This window comes from Homo sapiens, chromosome 1 (assembly GCF_000001405.40).
Source record: "Homo sapiens chromosome 1, GRCh38.p14 Primary Assembly".
Classification (NCBI taxonomy): Eukaryota; Metazoa; Chordata; class Mammalia; order Primates; family Hominidae; genus Homo; species Homo sapiens.
Genome location: NC_000001.11, coordinates 232,058,762 through 232,077,285, shown reverse-complemented (window position 1 = coordinate 232,077,285; position 18,524 = coordinate 232,058,762). Strand labels below are relative to the sequence as shown.

The 18,524-nt window shown below is 37.8% G+C and overlaps 1 long non-coding RNA gene across 1 annotated transcript in view; it reads right to left on the bottom strand.

Moving 5' to 3' along the window:
• Nucleotides 1-18,458, bottom strand: part of LOC105373171 (uncharacterized) — a 33,098-nt gene extending 14,640 nt beyond the window's left edge. The window contains exon 1 of the long non-coding RNA XR_949271.3: nt 15,697-18,458. This is a non-coding gene — a long non-coding RNA (uncharacterized LOC105373171). The remainder of the gene's footprint in view (nt 1-15,696) is intronic.
• Nucleotides 18,459-18,524: the final 66 nt, after the last annotated feature.

The window sequence follows — 18,524 nt, the reverse complement described above, 5'->3', positions numbered from 1 at the left end:
GAGCCAAGATTGCACCATTGTACTCCAGCCTGGGCAACAAGAGCAAAACTCAGTCTCAAAAAAAAAAAAAAAAAAAAGAAGATACTTGAAATTAGATGGAAAAAAAAGTCTTCCAAATCCTACCAACCTTAACAAAGTTACTTTAGTTTGTATACATCTTGGGATATTTTGCTTGCTTCCTTGCTTTTTTCCTTTCTTTTTTTTTTTTGAGATGGAGTCTTGCTCTGTCACCCAGGCTGGAATGCAGTGGTGCAATCTCGGTTCACTGTAACCTCCACCTCCCGGGTTCAAGGGATTCTCCTGCTTCAGCCTCTCAAGTAGCTGGATTACAGGCATGCACCATCACACCTGGATAATTTTGTATTTTTTAGTAGAGACGGGGTTTCACCATATTGATCAGGCTGGTCTCAAACTCCTGACCTCAGGTGATCCACTCATCTTGGCCTCCCAAAGTGCTGGGATTACAGGCTTGAGCCACCGCACCTGTTTAACTTATGCTACAGAAAATTTGATTTGGTGTATTAATGTTGATCTGCTTCATTGATTATTCAGCCTTCTTTCTCTAGAGCCACTTTTCTTCCTGGAGCTGGCTGATATTTTTCCTATGTAGATTTTTTATAACTATAATCAGAGTGTACAAATAATTTAATATGTCTCTTTTTATTTAATACTATATGAACATTTCTCATGTTGTATCAAAGTTTGTGAAATATAACACGTAATGACCAATGTATTATTTCATTAAGTGAGTTAACTGTAATTTACATAACTACGCCTATATTTCAATTATTTGGGTGACTCCTAACTTTCATTTGCTACTATAATAACTTGGTACATGCATATTTTTTCTACATTAGATAATTTGAGTAAGATGCATTCTTAGAAATAATATTTTTTTGGCTGGGCACAGTGGCTCTTGCCTGCAATCCCAGCACTTTGGGAGCCCTAGGCAGAAGGATAGCTTGAGATCAGGAGTTCAAGACAAGCCTGGGCAACATAGCAAAACGTTTCCCCCTGAGCCAACGTCTACAGAAAATTTAAAAATTATCCAGGCTTGGAGGTGGGTGCCTGTAGTCCTAATTACTTGGGAGGCTGAGGCAGGAGGATCACTTGAGCCCAAGACTTCAAGGTTGCAGTGAGATGTGATCATGCCACTACACTCCAGCCTGGGCAACAAGGGACACCCTGTCTGTAAAAGAATGAAAACTAAAAATAATAATATTTGGGGGACAATAAGAGACGCTTATTTTTGTAGCTTTTGATAGACCTTACAAAACTTTTCTAAAATGATTGTACTGTAAGCCATGAGTAACTAATATGAGTTTATCCCCCCGTCATTTATAAATTTACAACTGAAAAAATATGAAATGCCATTTTTAGACCTTAGACAACAGGCAGCATAGGTCTGTGATTCCTAATAGAAGGGGCCAATTGAGGTGAGCCTCACAATCACTCCAATCTCACTTTCTGGATGGTAGTGAATAGGAAACAAAGCTTGAACAGAGCATAGTGATTTCACTGAACTGAGAAGACAGGTATTGGAATCTGGAGTACTGAAGCAGCTAGAATTTGCAGAGGAGGGTAAAAGAGAGAAGAGAGCTGTGGGAAGACTGAACTCTAGAAAACTGTACAGGAATATTCCTAAAGCTTTGGTTAACTACTAAGTATTCATGTACAGAGCAAGAAACTACTAGTTCTAGCAAGTAACAACCTTTTGAGATCGAACCACTAAAGAGAGAATATCTACTTGGAAGCTGTGAAATGAACATCTGCTAGATTTTGCACAAGCAGGGAGACATGCAAGACCTCCAGCCAGAGTGTAGATACCTCCTTGAATGCCGTGAGCATTCAATAGAGACTCCAGCAAAATCATATCATAGGAGTAAATTAATCTAGCTCTAGGGAAAAAGTTGTTTTAGACCCACCCTAACAAAGTTTTAAAAGCACTCCTTAATAGGATAAAATTTATCTCCAAGAGTAAATTAACAGTCTGCCAGAACGAAAGTTGACACTTATTAAGGATAACAAAAAAAATCTAGACACCAAACAACAGAGCATTTATAATGCCCAGCATATTACAAAAACACTGTCAGATATGTACAGAAACAATTAAAGGTGAAAAATAAGAAGAAAAACATGTGTTAATAAAAAATTATCCTGAAATGACAGAAGTGTTTAAATTAATAGATAATATTATAATTATGATAAAGGATTATTACAAATACAATAAAGGATTTAAATGAAAATGTAAAAATAATAAGAGAATAAATAGGACTCAGGAGAGAAATGAGACCCATAAAAATAGAAATTTTAGAACTGAATAATACAACATTTAAAATAAAAATTTATTTCATGGGCTTAATGGCAGATTAAACACAGCAGAAGGAAGGAACAGTGAATTTGAACTCAGGGTTAGGAAAACTATCCAAACTAAAGCAAAACTAAAGCATTTATTTTTTTAAATGCTGGTTAAACAATGAAGAGGGACTAATTAAACTGTAGGAAAATAGTAATAAGATTAAAATATATGCAATTGGAGTACTAAAAGAAGAAATAGACATGGGAGAGAAAAATATTTGAAGATGTTATGATCAAATATTTCCTAATTTAGATGAAAGATTCAAGAATATCAACAAAACTCAAGCAAGATAAACATTGAAAACCACACCAAAGCACATCATTCTCAAACTGCTAAAAACCAATCACGAAAATTAAATATTAAAAGCAACTAGAAGAAAAAAGATGCATTAAACTCACTTGAGACACAATAAGAATGGTTGCTAACTTATCAGAAACAGGGCAAGTCAAAAGATGATGCAATGATATTTAAATTGCTGTAAGGAAAAAAACTTTCAATCTAGAAATCCAGCAAAAACATCCTTCAAAAATGAAGGTCACCAGACCAAGATGTAGTAAATGCACTTCTTCCTACTCTTCCCACCAAGTTCTTGTAGAACCCAAACCAAGCAAAAAACCCACCACCACTAATAACAAAAACTCTGAATATCACATATAAAACAAATCTGAGAAGACTTTGAAAGGTGGAGAGAAGAAAACAGACCAGCATGAGATCTCAGACCCTAAATAATGACATGGTAGTGAGTCCTTGGTTTCCTCCCCCACTTATATATCCTATATCAGGTGCTGAAGAAGTAGGTAATGTGAAAACATAAAACTAGAAAAGACAAAAAGGAGCCTCAAGAAAAATCTGCTGTGTCTAGCCAAAGGACCAAGAAAGGGGGAACATAGGAAAACAGAAAACCTTTAGACAAAAATTGCACTACCGCAGCCTCCTACCCCTGCTGGAGTGCTCTCAGAATGGACTGAGTGAGGAGCCAGTAATTTCATTTCTATCAGCAGTAATCAAACACCCCCATACCTGCTATCACTGGGGAATATTATAGGGATTCTGAACCCTCAGTCTGCAGTAACGAAGTGCCCCCTCACCATCCTTGCCTGGAGTAATGTTAGAAGAGGCCATATGGGAAGCCAGAACTTTCACCACCATCCAGAATGTTCCTGAACAACCACCCTTATGTAACTGACATTAAGAAACACTGCATCCAGCAACTGTAGAAAACAGTCTTTCCAAGCGTATGTGAAACATACATGAAGATTGACCATATGCTGAGCCATAAAATAAGTCTGACCATGCCTAAAAAGATTGAAATTAATCTTCCTCAATCAAAAAATTAAATAAGAAATCAGTAACAAAAAGAACTCCAGAAAAATCCCCAAGTATTTGGAAATTAAGCAACACACTTCTAAACAACAAATAGATCAAAGAAAAAATTAAAAGGTAATTAGAGAATATTTTGAACTTAATAGCACATATCAAAATTTATAGATTGCAGTTGGAGGGAAATTTATAGCTCTAAATGCTTATATTAGAAAAGACGAAGGAATTTAAACCATAGGTTTAAACTGTAAATTTAAAATCCATTTTTAGAGGCAAGAAGAAGAGCAAATTAAATCAATGTAAGTGGAAAAATGGAAATTAAAAAGAAATCAGTGAAATAGAAAACACAAGATCAATAGAGAAAAGTAACAAAACCAAAGTTATTTCTATGGAATTGTTAATGCAGTGATTAGTAATCTCTTAGTTAGAAAGAGAAAAAAACAGAGAAAACCTAACACTGGAGGTTCCAGATTTAGAAAACAACTACTCCTAGACCTAAGAAATGAGATAGACAGCAACACAATAATAGTGGGGGACTTAAATACTCTACTGACAGCACTAGACAGGCCATCAAGACAGAAAGTCAACAAAGAAACAATGGATATAAACTATACCCTAGAATAAACAGACATATATATTTACAGAACATTCATCCCAACAACTGCAGAATATACATTCTTCTCATCAGCACATGGAACATTCTCCAAGATAGACCATATGATAGGCCACAAATCTCCATAAATCTAAGAAAATCAAAATAATATCAAATATCTTCTCAGACCACAGTGAAATAAAACTGGAAATAACTTCAAAAAATCCTCAAAACTCTACAAATACATGGAAATTAAATAATCTGCTCTTGAGTGATCTTTGGGTCAACGATGAAATCAAAATGGGAATTTAAAAATTCTTTGAACTGAACAATAATAGTGACACAACCTATAAACCTCTGGGATACAGCAAAAGCAATACTAAGAGGAAAGTTCATAGCATTAAATGCCTACATCAAAAAGTCAGAAAGAGCACAAATAAACACCTTAATGTCACACCTCAAGGAACTAGAGAAACAAGATCTAAACCCAAACCCAGTAGAAGAAAAGAAATAACAAAGATCAGAGCAAAACTAAATGAAATGGAAACCAAAAAAATAAAAATACAAAAAATAAATGAAACAAAAAGCAGGTTCTTTGAAAAGATAAACAAAATTGATAGACCATTAGTGAGATTAACCAACAAGAGAGATCTGAATAAACTCAATTAGAAATGAAACTGGATATACTACAACCAATACCATAGAAATACAAAAGAGTGGCTGGGCGTGGTGGCTTATGCCTGTAATCCCAGCACTCAGGGAGGCCAAGGCGGGGGGGATCACCTGAGGTCAGGAGTTCGAGACCAGCCTGACCAACATGGAGAAACCCTGTCTCTACTAAAAATACAAAAAATTAGCCTGGCGTTGTAGCACGTGCCTGTAATCCCAGCTACTTGGGAGGCTGAGGCAAGAAAATGGCTTGAACCCGCGAGGCAGAGGTTGCAGTGAGCCGAGATGGCACCATTGCACTCCAGCCTGGGCAACAACAGCAAAACTCCATTTCAAAAAAAAAAAAAGAAATACAAAACAGCATTTAAGGCTACTATGAACACCCTTACATGCACAAACTAGAAAATCTAGAGGAGATGGATAAATTCCTGTAAATATAACAACCCTCTAGGTTAAACTGGGAAGAAATAGAAACCGTGAACAGATCAATAACAAGCAGTGAGATTGAATCAGTAATAAAAAAAAATTGCCTCCTGGCTAACACAGTGAAACCCCGTCTCTACTAAAAATACAAAAAATTAGCCGGGCGAGGTGGTGGGTGCCTGTAGTCCCAGCTACTAGGGAGGCTGAGGCAGAGAATGGCGTGTACCCGGGAGGCAGAGCTTGCAGTGAGCCAAGATGGCGCCACTGCACTCCAGCTTGGGCGACAGCGAGACTCCGTCTCAAAAAAAAAAAAAATTGCCAACAAAACAGTCCAGGACCAGATGGATTGACAGCTGAATTCTATCAGACATTCAAAGGAGAATTGATACTAATCCTACTGAAACTATTCCAAAAGATAAAGAAGGAATCCTTCCTAAATCATTCTATGACGCTAGTATCACCCTAATACCAAAACTAGGAAATAACATAACAAAACAGAAAACTGCAGGCCAATATTCCTGATGAGCATTAATAAAAAAAAATCCTCAACAAAATACTAGTTAACCGAATCCAATATTATATAAAAAAGATAACATATCATGATCAAGTGGGTTTCATACCAGGGATGCAGGGATGGTTATGCAAGTCAACAAATGTGATACATCACATAAACAGAATTAATTAACAAAAACCCATAGAATCATCTCAATAGACAGAAAAAGCATTTTATAAAATCCAGCATCCCTTTATGATAAAAACCCTCAGTGAAATAGGCATATAAGGGACTTACCTCAAAGTAATAAAAGCCATATATGACAAACCCACACCCAACAAGGGGAAAAGTTGAATGCATTCCCCTGAGAACTGAAACAAGACAAGGATGCCCATTTTCACCACTTCTATTCAACATAGTACTGGAAGTCCTAGCCAGAGCAATCAGACCAGACAAGAGAAAGAAAGAAACGGCATCTCAATTAGAAAAGAGGAAGTCAAACTGTTGCTTTTTGGTGATTATATGACCATATACCCAGAAAACCCTAAAGATTTATCCAAAAAGCTCTTAGATCTGATAAACTAATTCAGTAAGGTCTCAGGATACAAAATCAAGGTACACAAGTCAGTAGCACTGCTATACACCAACAATGACCAAGTTGAAAATCAAATGAGGCACTCAATCTCTTTTATAACAGCTGCAAAAACAAAATAAAACAAAAAACACTTAGGAATATAGCTTAACAAAAGAGGTGAAAGATCTCTACAAGAAAAACTACAAAACACTGCTGAAAGAAAACATAGAGTACGCAAACAAATGTAAACACATTCCATGCTCATGGGTAGAATCAATATTGTGAAAATGACCATACTGCCCAATGCAATCTACAGATTCAATGCAATTCCCATCAAAAATCATCATTCTTCACAGAACTAGAAAAAATAATCCTAAAATTCATCTAGAACCAAAAAAAAAATCCTGCATAGCCAAAGCAATACTAAGCAAAATGAACAGATCTGGAGGCATCATATTACTAGACTTCAAAGTATACTATAAGGTTATACTTACCAAAACAGCATGGTACTAGCATAAAAATAGGCAAGTAGAGCAAAGGAACAAAATAGAGAATCCAAGAATAAAGCCAAATACTTACAACCAACTGATCTTTGACAATGCATATAAAAACATAAATTGGGGAAAGGACATCCTACTCAATAAACGGTGCTGAGAAAACTAGCAAGCCACATGTAGAAGAATGAAACTGGATTCTCATCTCTCACCTTATACAAAAATCAACGCAAGATAGATCAAAGACTTGAATCTAAAACCTGAAACCATAAAAATTCTAGAAAATAACATCAGAAAAACTCTTCTAGACATTGACTTAGGCTAAGAGTTCATGACCAAGAACTCAAAAGCAAATGCAACAAAAACAAAAATAAATAAATAAATGGGACTTAATTAAACTAAAAAGGTTCTGCCTAGGAAATGAAATAATCAGCAGAGTAAACAGACAGGTGGGAGAAAATATTTGTAAATGACGCATCTGACAAAGGACTAATATCCAGAATCTACAAAGAACTCAAACAAATCAGCAAGAAAAAACAAACAAACAAACAATCCCCGCCGGGTGCGGTGGTCGGTGGCTCATGCCTGTAACCCCAGCACTTTGGGAGGCCAAAGCAGGCAGATCACTTGAAGTCTGGGGTTTGAGACCAGCCTGGCCAACCTAGTGAAACCCCATCTCTACTAAAAATACAAAAATTATCTGGGTGTGGTGGTTCATGCCTGTAGTCCTAGCTACTCAGGAGGCTGAGGTGGGAGAATCACTTGAATCTGGTAGGCAGAGGTGGCAGTGAGCCGAGATCATGCCACTACACTCCAGCCTGGGTGATAGAGACCCAGTCTCAAAAAAAATAAAAATATAATATAATAAAAAGAATACCATCAAAAAGTGGGCAAATGACATGAATAGACAATTCTATTTTTCTATGAAAAGATGCTCAACATCACTAATTATCAGGGAAATGCAAATTAAAACCACAATGCAACACCACCTTACTCCTGCAAGAAAGGCCATAATTTAAAAATCAAAAAACAATAGATGTTGGTGTGGATGTGATGAAAAGGGAACACTTTTATACTTCCGGTGGGAATGTAAACTAGTACAACCACTATGGAAAACAGTATGGAGACTTCTTAAACAACTAAAAGTAGAACTACCATTCGATCCAGCAATCCCACTACTGGGTATCTACCCAAAGGAAAAGAAGTCATTATATGAAAAATACACATGTGCACAGTTCCCAGTTGCAAAGATATGGAACCAACTTAAGTCCTCATCAACCAACGAGTGGATAAAGAAGATGTAGTATATATATTATGGAATGCTACTCAGCCATAAAAAGAAATGAAATAATGTCTTTTGCAGCAACTTGGATAGAGTTGGAGGCCATTATTCTAAATAAAGTAACTCAGGGATGGAAAACTAAATATTGTGTGTTCTCATACATACAGTGTGTATGATAATGTTCTCTGTTATAAGTGGGAGTTAAGATATGAGGCTGCAAAGGCATAAGAATAATATAATGGACTTTGAGGACTCAAGGGGGAAGCTTGTGAGGGGGCTGAGAGATAAAAGACTACATATTGGGCAGAGTGCACAGAGCTTGGGTAACAGATACACTAAAATCTCAGAAATCACCACTAAAAAACTTATCCATGTAACCAAAAACCACCTGTACCCCAAAAACTGTTGAAATAAAAATGAACTTTTTTTAAAAAAGGAATGTTCTGTATCTTGATAGGGGGTGGATACAGGGAGTATGTGGTTTGTCAGAAATCACTGAGACTTGTACATGTCACTGTATGTAAATTAAACCCCAATAAAATAATCAAGCTACAAAAAAGGAAATTCAAACTCTCCTTCCACAAAAAACAAACATCAAAATAATGATTTACCAAATTATTAGGTATTTTACAAATTAAGAAAATTTGCAAGCACTTAATAGATGTAAGTAATATTTTTATTTTATAAATAAATATTATAAATCAACAAAAGCAAATTCTCTCCAAGAAAAAAATAAGTAGAAGCTATGAAAATCAATTTATAAAAAAAATGATATCCTTTTGGTAACTGTCTCAAAGTCACACAATTACTTTGTTGAAGAACAAGAACTCAAATTTAGATTTCCTGATTCCTTTTCTGTTACACCGAGAGAACAGAGATTGTATCAACAAATGCTGAAAACACTTAAGGGCATGATATTCTCAGAATTATAATAATAATAATTCTCTCCAAATAGATGACATGGTTATCAATAGAATGTTCTTCTATTTTTAAATTAATAAAATTCAAATAATTCTAAAGTAAGACAATTCTGGGAGAAAATTTTAAAAATTGACAGAAGACAGTAAGTTACAAATACATTACAATGCAGTTATAATTAAAGTGTACTGGTGCAAGAATAGACAAATAACTTATTAGGGCAGAATACATACTTTTTTTGTATAGAACTTTTAAAAGGAAAGAGAATATTAGTTAATTAATTACATTGAGATAAGCAAGTAATTTGGGAAAAATCAATTTAACGTCTCACTACACTATGCGCTAGTATAAAGTTTTGATATAAATATTTAAAAGTGAAGAAAATAGTATCAAATATAAGTGAAATATTTGAGATTAACATTCTGGACACAGAAGGAATTGAAAACAATCTTTAAGGAAATGAGACAGATGGAGAAATTTTGATTTGTTAGGTTATGATGAACTTCTACTGATTGCTGATAAATTCAAAGGTGAAAACAAGAGGCACATTTTGCTGTGGAAAAGTTTATTTTTAAGTAAGATTCTAATTTCAATTGAAGTATAATATTTATACAGAAAGATGCACAAATCTTAGGTATGCAGTCATTAATCCCTACTCAAAAGTAACCTAACCTATATTCCAACTTCTAATACCACATATTAGGTTTGACTATTTTCAAGCTTTATATACAGGCAATCACATGGTATATATTATTTTGTGCCTTACTTAGTTCCATCAACACTATGTAAAATTCTTTCATGTTATTATATGCAGCAGTAATTCATTTTCATGGCTGTATAGCATTCATTCTGCTGTTTGCCATTTTGATCTATTAAAGTAATGCTTACAAAAACGTTGTACATGTCTTTTGGCACACATATGCACAAATGTCTATTGGTATACACTTATGATAGAATTGTTGGTTTATAAGGAACATATATTATGATGTGTCTAGGTAGATACACCAAACAGCATATGACCCCACTGTTCTATATTCTATACTTGGTACTCCCTCCACCTCTTTTAGCCATTCAGAAATGGAGGAATGGGAGGTATTATACTATCATATTGTGATTTTATATTCCATTTCTTCAATTAATTATGATGTTGAGCTATTTGGTACCATATTTTGTGAAGTAGCCATTAAAGTTTTTGGCCCATTTTTAAATTGAGTTGCCTTTTTCTTAATGATTTGAGGAGTTTTAAAAAATATTTCGAATGTGAGTTCTTTGTCATTTACATATACTATAGATATCTTTTTTTCAGTGGATTTCTCATTTCACTTCCTTTCTTTTTTTTTTTCTTTTTGGGCAGTCTCACTCTATCACACAGGCTGGAGTGCAGTGGCATCATCTCAGCTCAATGCAACCTCCATCTGTTGGGTTCAAGTGATTGTCATGACTCAGCCTCCTGAGAAGCTGGGATTACAGGCACATGCCACCAGATCTGTCTAATTTTTGTATTTTTAGTACAGATGGGGTTTCACCATGTTGGCCAGGCTGGTCTCAAACTCCAGATGTCAGGTTATCTGCCCGCCCTGGCTTCCCAAAGTGCTGAGATTACAGGCATGAGCCACTGCGCCCAGCCTTCATTTCACTTTCTTATTACTGTCATTTTATTAACAGATGTTCTAAATTTTAACAAGTCCAATTTGTCAGTCCTTTACACTTTGCATATTTAGATCCACATTCCACCTGGAATTTAATTTTTTTTGTATGGTGTGAGGTAGGATTCAAGTTGAGTTATTTCAAATACAGTTATTCATTCAGCACAGCCACATTTATTGAAAAGAATTTTCTTCCTCCCTGCATTGCAGGAACATCTTTGTTGTAAATAAGTGACCATATATGTACAGCTTTTTTTCTGTTCTTTTTGCTTACTTACTGTCTTTGCCCAACACTATGCTATTTTAATTACTGTACCATTATAATAAATTTTGATATCTGATAGTGTAAATTCTACCTCAATATTATTTTTTATCTTCTTAGCTTTTTAAATTGCTATATACATATGTGTGTGTGTGAGAGAGAAAGTGAGCCAGAGAGAAAGTGAGAATCACTTTTAAACTTTTACCCCCAAAAAACCCACCTTCTAGGTTTTTTACTATGATGGCATTGAATCTATAGGTAAATTGTAGGAGAAATTACATCTTAAAATACCGAGCCTTCCACTTTATGAAAATCGTATATCCTTCTGCTTCCTGCTTATTTATGTCTTCTTTGATTCCTCTCCATAAAGGTAGTTTTATTTTCAGTATAAAGTTCTTGCATGTCTTTAAATACATGTATTTTAAAGATATTTGATTATTTTGTGCTATTTTGAATTCTACCATTTAACTTTTAATTTCTTTAAGTTGCTGGTGTATAGAAATACAAGTGATTTTTGGATATTTGTGTATTCAGTAATATTGTAAAATTCACCTATTAATTATATGTTTTACCTGCATAGATTTTTTTTTATTTTCTATGTGCAGAATCATTGTTTTTTGTGCATAAAACAGTTTTATTTATTTATTTCCTATGTTATACCTTTATTTCATTCTTTTGTCTTATTATATTGGCTAGATTCTACTATAATAGCGGATAAAAGGGGAGATAGTGGACATTCTTGTCTCTTTCCTGATCTTAAGAGAAAAGCCCTCATTATTTCACCATTAAGAACTTTACTGCAGGCTATCAAATTTTTAAAGTATGCTTTTCATCATTCTTGAGGATAACAGAGATTCTGAACCCTCATATTGTCATCTTTCAAATAATGATGAAAAATTACAAAATTATTTAGATAGGTGGTATTAACTCACAGATTTGTTTTGTACACTATCCATTATCCAAAACTTCCCCTTTTTAACTTTTTTATTTGGATTTTTTCCCTTTAGCTATTGCTTCATAATACTTAACATTATAGATTTTGAATATAGATAAATAAAAAACATAACTGAAATCTATCTACTTGGAATTGAAGATTTAGCCAAAGTAGTTGGTTGGAAACCATCAAAATGAGTTTAGTGGAATAGCATTAGATGTCATTTCTTCATAATATTCCCCATTTCTCTGCATTTCTGTGAAAATTCTGTCAACGGTTAAAAGTTCCGAAGGCCTAGCATTGTTCAGTGTCTCTATTTTTCTGAAACATAAATTAATCATCTGGTATGAAAAAAATCACTAAGGAGGGAACACTATTGTGGTGGAGGAAAAATTGACAGTTGAAGAAGAGGAAGATAATTTGGAATTCAAGAATCAAAAAACTCTGGCTACAGTCAGAAAAATAACTTCATAAAAATTTAACTTTGAATTGTCAATTATTTCAGAATTGGAAATAACTTTTTTAGCCTGGTATATATAGCAGATGCCAATAAATGTTTCATTCCCAGAGAGCTAAAAAAATATTTTAAGTCACTATTTACACCACACACTCTATATCTATAGTAGCTAACACAATGACTTTTGTTTCTTTCCTTATCACTGGCATGCGATTGACCGGCTTAAGTCTAATAAACATCTCGCTGAGGCTGAAGACTTCACACTTCAATGCTCTTTGTATCAACTTAATTAGTCTTCTTACCACTAGAACCATCACTTTCATGTACCCATTTTTTACTCACTTTATAAATGAGAAACGGCAAAATGCAAAAAAATAAAAAATAAAAATAAAAAAATTGCATAAGCCGAGACAATCAGCAAAGATGACAAAGGTGCCCAAATGGAGCCACTGGCTGGCAGACACCATGCCCACAGCACCACAGCACCAAGGGGTCCCGTTTTCTGCTAACGTGTCCTGGGACTGGCAGAGTCAGTCGGTGTTCTAAAGATTGTTTAGAACTTGACTGTGCAATATTTGAAGTCCTTTTGTAATTACATGCTACCTTTTACCCTCCTCATTTGAAGTATATACAGATAGGAGAGGCAGGGGAAGCAGTAGCCCAGGGTGAAAAAAGAAGTAATCAGTAAGAAAGAACATAGAAACCAGTAAGAAAGAGGTAGAGCTAGGAAAGTACCAGTGAACTGAGGAAGGAGGCCTTCCTCTGTGATTTAAAGCAGGGAGGATTTCGGCTTTAGCAAACTGAACCTAAATAGGTGTAGATATATAGATGTACATATAAATATAATTATGTACTTATGTTCACATACATGAGTGTATACATACACACATACATGGGGGATGGGGAGAGAAACAGTTGAGTTTTTCCATAGCTTCTTCATAACTCTGTGTCCAAAATATTAAGTATTCCTGCATAACAGGAATTCAAGTGTGTTTTTAAAAATATCCCCCAACTTTTTCTCTGAATTTTAGGTACAATGAACAGGTATTACTCACGAGGTCAGGAGCTCGAAACCAGTCTGGCCAACACGGTGAAACCCCTTCTCTACTAAAAACACAAAAATTAGCCTGGCGTGTTGGCATGCACCTGTAATCCCAGCTACTCGGGAGGCTGAGGCAGGAGAATCACTTGAACCCAGGGGCTGAGGTTGCAGTGAGCCGAGATCGTGCCATTGCACTCCAGCCCCGGTAACAATATGAGACTCTGTCTCGAAAAAAAAAGATTTAAATAGAATTATAAAATCATTCATGAAAAATAAATATAAGTAGGGAGTGTGTTATGTTTTCAAGTAGGAAGACCGTGTTGGGGTGGAGAGATCTTCTCTACCTACACAAATACCCCACAGGAGTCTCTGCTGAAGCTCATGGGCCACAGAGAAGCCTGATTCTCAGGAAGTGCCGATTGCTCCAAGTCAGTACATTATTTAACTTATTCATTTTGAATCAAGTTATATCTGGCTCTAAGTCTGTATTGCATATTGTTTTAATTTTTCTGTATATTATGTCTTGACATGTTGAAAAACTTTATGGAGGAGAGAGACAGCCCTCCCTGAGCCAGCTAATTGTCAGAGCCTAATCCAGCTCCAAACAAGCCTCTGATATGCAAACTAACCAACACACCTCCTCTATCCTGCCCTTGCTCCGCAGGAGGCAATATTCCTCTGCCCTAATCATCCCAGGGCCAGGTGCCAGGCAACTCCCTAGTGTGCCACCCCTATAGCTTAGGGCCCTGTGAAATTCTGCAAAGCAGCCAATCCTAAACTGTTCACCCACCTTGCCTTTTCTCTCCCCGAAAACTCCAGCGAAGGCTCTGACCTAAACTTTCCCCTCAGTCTTGCCTTCTTCCTCCTGACCATCCTAGCGTCTTCCCCATGTGGCTCTGCCTGGCATGGTGTACTTCCTGTCTCTAGAACTGTGAGTATCATGAACTTGTTTTCCTGAGCCTCTCCAGTGTCTCCTCTTGTGACCACAGCTGGCTGACCGTCTCATAAGAGAACACAAAAGGCCAAACACAGTGGCTCATGCCTATAATCCCAACTCTTTGGGAGGTTGAGCAATGAAGAACACTTGAGGCCAGGAGTTTGAGATAAGCCTGGGCAACATAGCAAGACCCTGTCTCTACCAAAAAAAAAAAAAAATTAGGCAGGCGTGGTGGCATGTCTGTAGTCCCAGCTACTGGGGTAGCTGAGGCAGGAAGATTGCTTGAGCTCATGAGTTTGAGGCTACCGTGAGCAATGATTATATCACTGCACTCCAGCCTGGGTAATAGAGCGAGACTGTGTCTCTAAAAAAATAAATACATTGAATAAATAAATACTTTTTAAATAAAAATTACAAAACAAAACCCTCATTTGTCAAATTTGGTAAAAGATTCAATCTCGACTACTTTTTGGGGACCCCTCCCTACTTCCTGCCCCCTTGGGATTTCATGAAAGCCTCCCGGCTAACACAGCCAAGGAAACTAGAGAAGGGCTTCTGCTCTTCAGGCCTCAGAGGCCGCGCTGCCAATGCTCAGGTTCTTGGGCATGTGAAGTTGCGAGAGCGACACCTGCTAATGCCCCCCTCCCCACTCTCCACTTCCAGACTCTGCCACGGGGACATCACTGACTCCTGGCACCCACCACAACCATCCCACCTTGAAGCCCTGCCATCTCCAGGTTCAGAGATCTTCCACCTTCTCCAAGAGAAACTGGAAATCATAGTTTCTGGGAAAATCTCCTCAATATCTTAAAGTTGGCCACCAGTTAAACATCTTATGTGCAATGTGGCTGTCTACATGGCCAGGGGTTGAGTTGGCTTGAACTCAGCCCCCAGTGGCCTGGCAATGCTTCCCGTGAGGGTGTTGTGGCAATTCCACATTCTCTCTTTTCTGCTAATAAGCTGACCCAGCAAAAGCAACAGCACTACTGTTAATTTTTCAGTAACTCATCCTGTTGTGAAAGAAGTATGGGTGCTAACTGCATGTGTTTGAGGTGCCAGGGAACACCAGTCATTATTTCTAAAATGGGAATAATAAAGCCCTTGCCTTCCCGACTTTACAAGGTTGTTGAGAGGTCAAATGAGTTGGGATGCTACAATGCTCTAGACGAATGCATATATCGTAAAGAAGTTGGGTAGTACCAGGTGGAAGAAGAGAACAGACAGGGAGTACAGGGAGAGCCGCTGGGACTATTGTTGCTCAGAGCCACTCTTGTTTCCTTTACATTTATGATACCTGTTTGCAACAGTAAGCACTGCCATTCTATGTAGCCAAACGGGAAAAGGACAGTCTTTTTCCATGTCATGTAGCTTCAGAATTGCCCCTGTACATAAATGGGATGCATTACCTGGAAAGAACCAAACAGTTCTACGTATCAGCATCATGCTTTATAAATGACAATACACTCATGCCTAATATCCTCTTTTCACTATGGAAGGTCAGGCAGCCATAGTGTGTTTGTCCATTTTGCATTGCTATAAAAGAATGCAATTATAGTAATTGCATTAAATGATGCTGAGTAACTTAAGAAAAGAGGTTTATTTGGCTCATAGTTCTGCAGGCTGTACTAGCATGGCACTCACATCTGCTCAGCTTCTCATGAGGCCTCAGGAAGCTTGCAGTCATGGCAGAAGGTGAGTGGGGAGCTGTCATGTCACCTGGGGAGAGAGGGAGCAACAGGAGAGAGGAGGAGGTGCCAGGCTCTTTTTAAACAATCAGCTCTTACGTGAACTAACAGAGTGGGAGCTCACTCATTACCATGAGGACAGCAACGACATATTCATGAGGGATCTGCCCCCAGACTCAAATGCCTCCCACTGCGCCCACCTCAAACACTGGAGGTCACGTTTCAACATGAGATATGGAGAGTCACATTCAAACCATGTTACCAGGTGTGTCCATTCTAGAGTAGAATGCACAGAAGCAGAGACATGTGGCTGATCACAGAGGAGAGAGGACCTTGTATCTGTGGCTTAGCCCTCTGGTGCTCAGACAGATAAATGGAACAGAACTAGAGAAATTAATAAAAGAAATTCAGGATATCATATGCACAGAGGCTTTACTGGCCGTAGTACCACTTTGTGTTTCCTGTTCTTCTTTGTTGTTCTGCTATCATTATTTATTCATGATAACAGGGAATTAGATTGTGTCCTTCAGGGGCAGCCCAACAGATGTGAAATGCAGCAAATGCGAGGGTGTGTGTGTGTAAATGTACCTGAAATGGGTATGGGGACATATAAAAGCTTCACAAATCACAAGACTACCTTATATGTTTTATAAAACTTTAACATGTGCAAAGCGCTTTTTTATGTGTTCTTTCATAAATTATGCATGTTGATGAACATCATAATTCTGTGGGATTGGGCAAGGGGGGAAAGCCCAAGGTGTCTAGGGTTTCACATTGCAAGCACTACCTGGAAGAGTCTGCTCTTTCTGGAAAAGGCCATCAGACCCAAAGAGGACTCTTCTCTGTGCTGCTTCTACTAATCTATTCTAGATCTGTCCCTTCCCCTGAGAAGTGCTGCTGAGGATGAATGGGCCTGTCCGAGGGTCTAAGAAGGACAAACAGGGCAGGCTGGAGGAAGCCACTGACATTGCAAGAGGCACAGATAATGCTGCTTTGGACAACTGCCCAGAGTGGTGCAATCAGCCGGGGCCAAGGGGCCTCTTGCACCAACTGACGTGAATGGCACCTGTTGGAAATTTGCCAACTGTGCATAAACATGCTTCATGCAAACCAGGCTGGCTGGAACCACTTTACGCCCTCCTCTTCCTCCTCTTCCCCTCACCCTGCTTCCACAAACACACCCGGACACACACCGACTTACACACATGCAAACACATTCAGGCCCTGTGTCCTCCCAAAGCATCACCTGGCATGGACAGCTGGCTAGCTCTCAGGAGGGAGAGTCAGAATAGAACAGAGCAGATGCTAGCCATAGGAAAATGCTGAAGGAGAAACACAGGGCATGCTGAGCCACGGCAGGAAGAAGGAAAGGTGCTTTAGAAACTGCAGTAGCAATCGTGAAGTAGTACCTGAATCTGCATTGCATACCAGCTTTCAGCCAGAGATCTCAGAGAGCTTTACTAGCATCATTAGAGAGGTTAGCATTTCCATTTTGGATGTGGGAATGCACCAAGGGAAAACGGCTGGATCCATCTGACCAAGGGCGAGGAGAAATCCTTATGGGTAAAGAGCCCAAGGTTGTTTCTCCATTAGACTGGTTCAGCTGGTTGAGAATCCAGGCTGCACAGTGACCTCAAACATCCCTACCCTGGGCACTCTCAGTGACCCCAGGTTGCAGGGCTTTCCTTTCCATTAATAATGGATCACATGCCACAGAAGGGAGGTCTCTAGTCAAGGGTTTTGTCCTTGGTCCCGTCCTGCTAAATATTTTAAACAATTTTTTTGTGAAAATAAAACCAACCTGATTATCAAATTTGCAGCTGCCAAAAGTTAGGGGAGATGACTCATTTCTTGGATAATGGAATTGCTTTGCAAAAAAACCTCTAACAAGCTGGAATGATCGACCTGAACTAACTTGATAAAATTTAAAAGGAATCAATGGAAAGTCCTAAACTCAGGTTTAGAAAGTCAGCTGCGCTGACACATGACATAGAAAACTAATAATAGCAATCTTTTTGAAAAAGACTTGACATGTTTAGTTGACTCTACAGTTTAGAGAAAAACTTCTAAGAAAGCTAATGCAACCGAAGACACGTTCATAGACATATAGGGTCATGTAGTCATAGAATATTATTACTGAAGGTGACATTAGAAGTCATCATTGCATGATGGAGCAGAAGTCCTTCAAGGTTAAATATAAGACTAGATAGAAAGGATATAACATGGGTTCTATCTTGAGCACCAACTCTAATCAATGGCAAATTGCTGCCTGGAGAACCGCTTTTGAGAAGGATTCTGAGTTCTTATCTGGGCTCAGCAGAAAGAAGGGCTGTGAGAACTGAGTGATTCTGTTGTGGTGTAGAGAGGGAGTCCCAGGGCTACAAACGTAGGAATAGAGAGCTCCATGGGCCTGCCTGCTCAGCCCCATGGAGCTCTC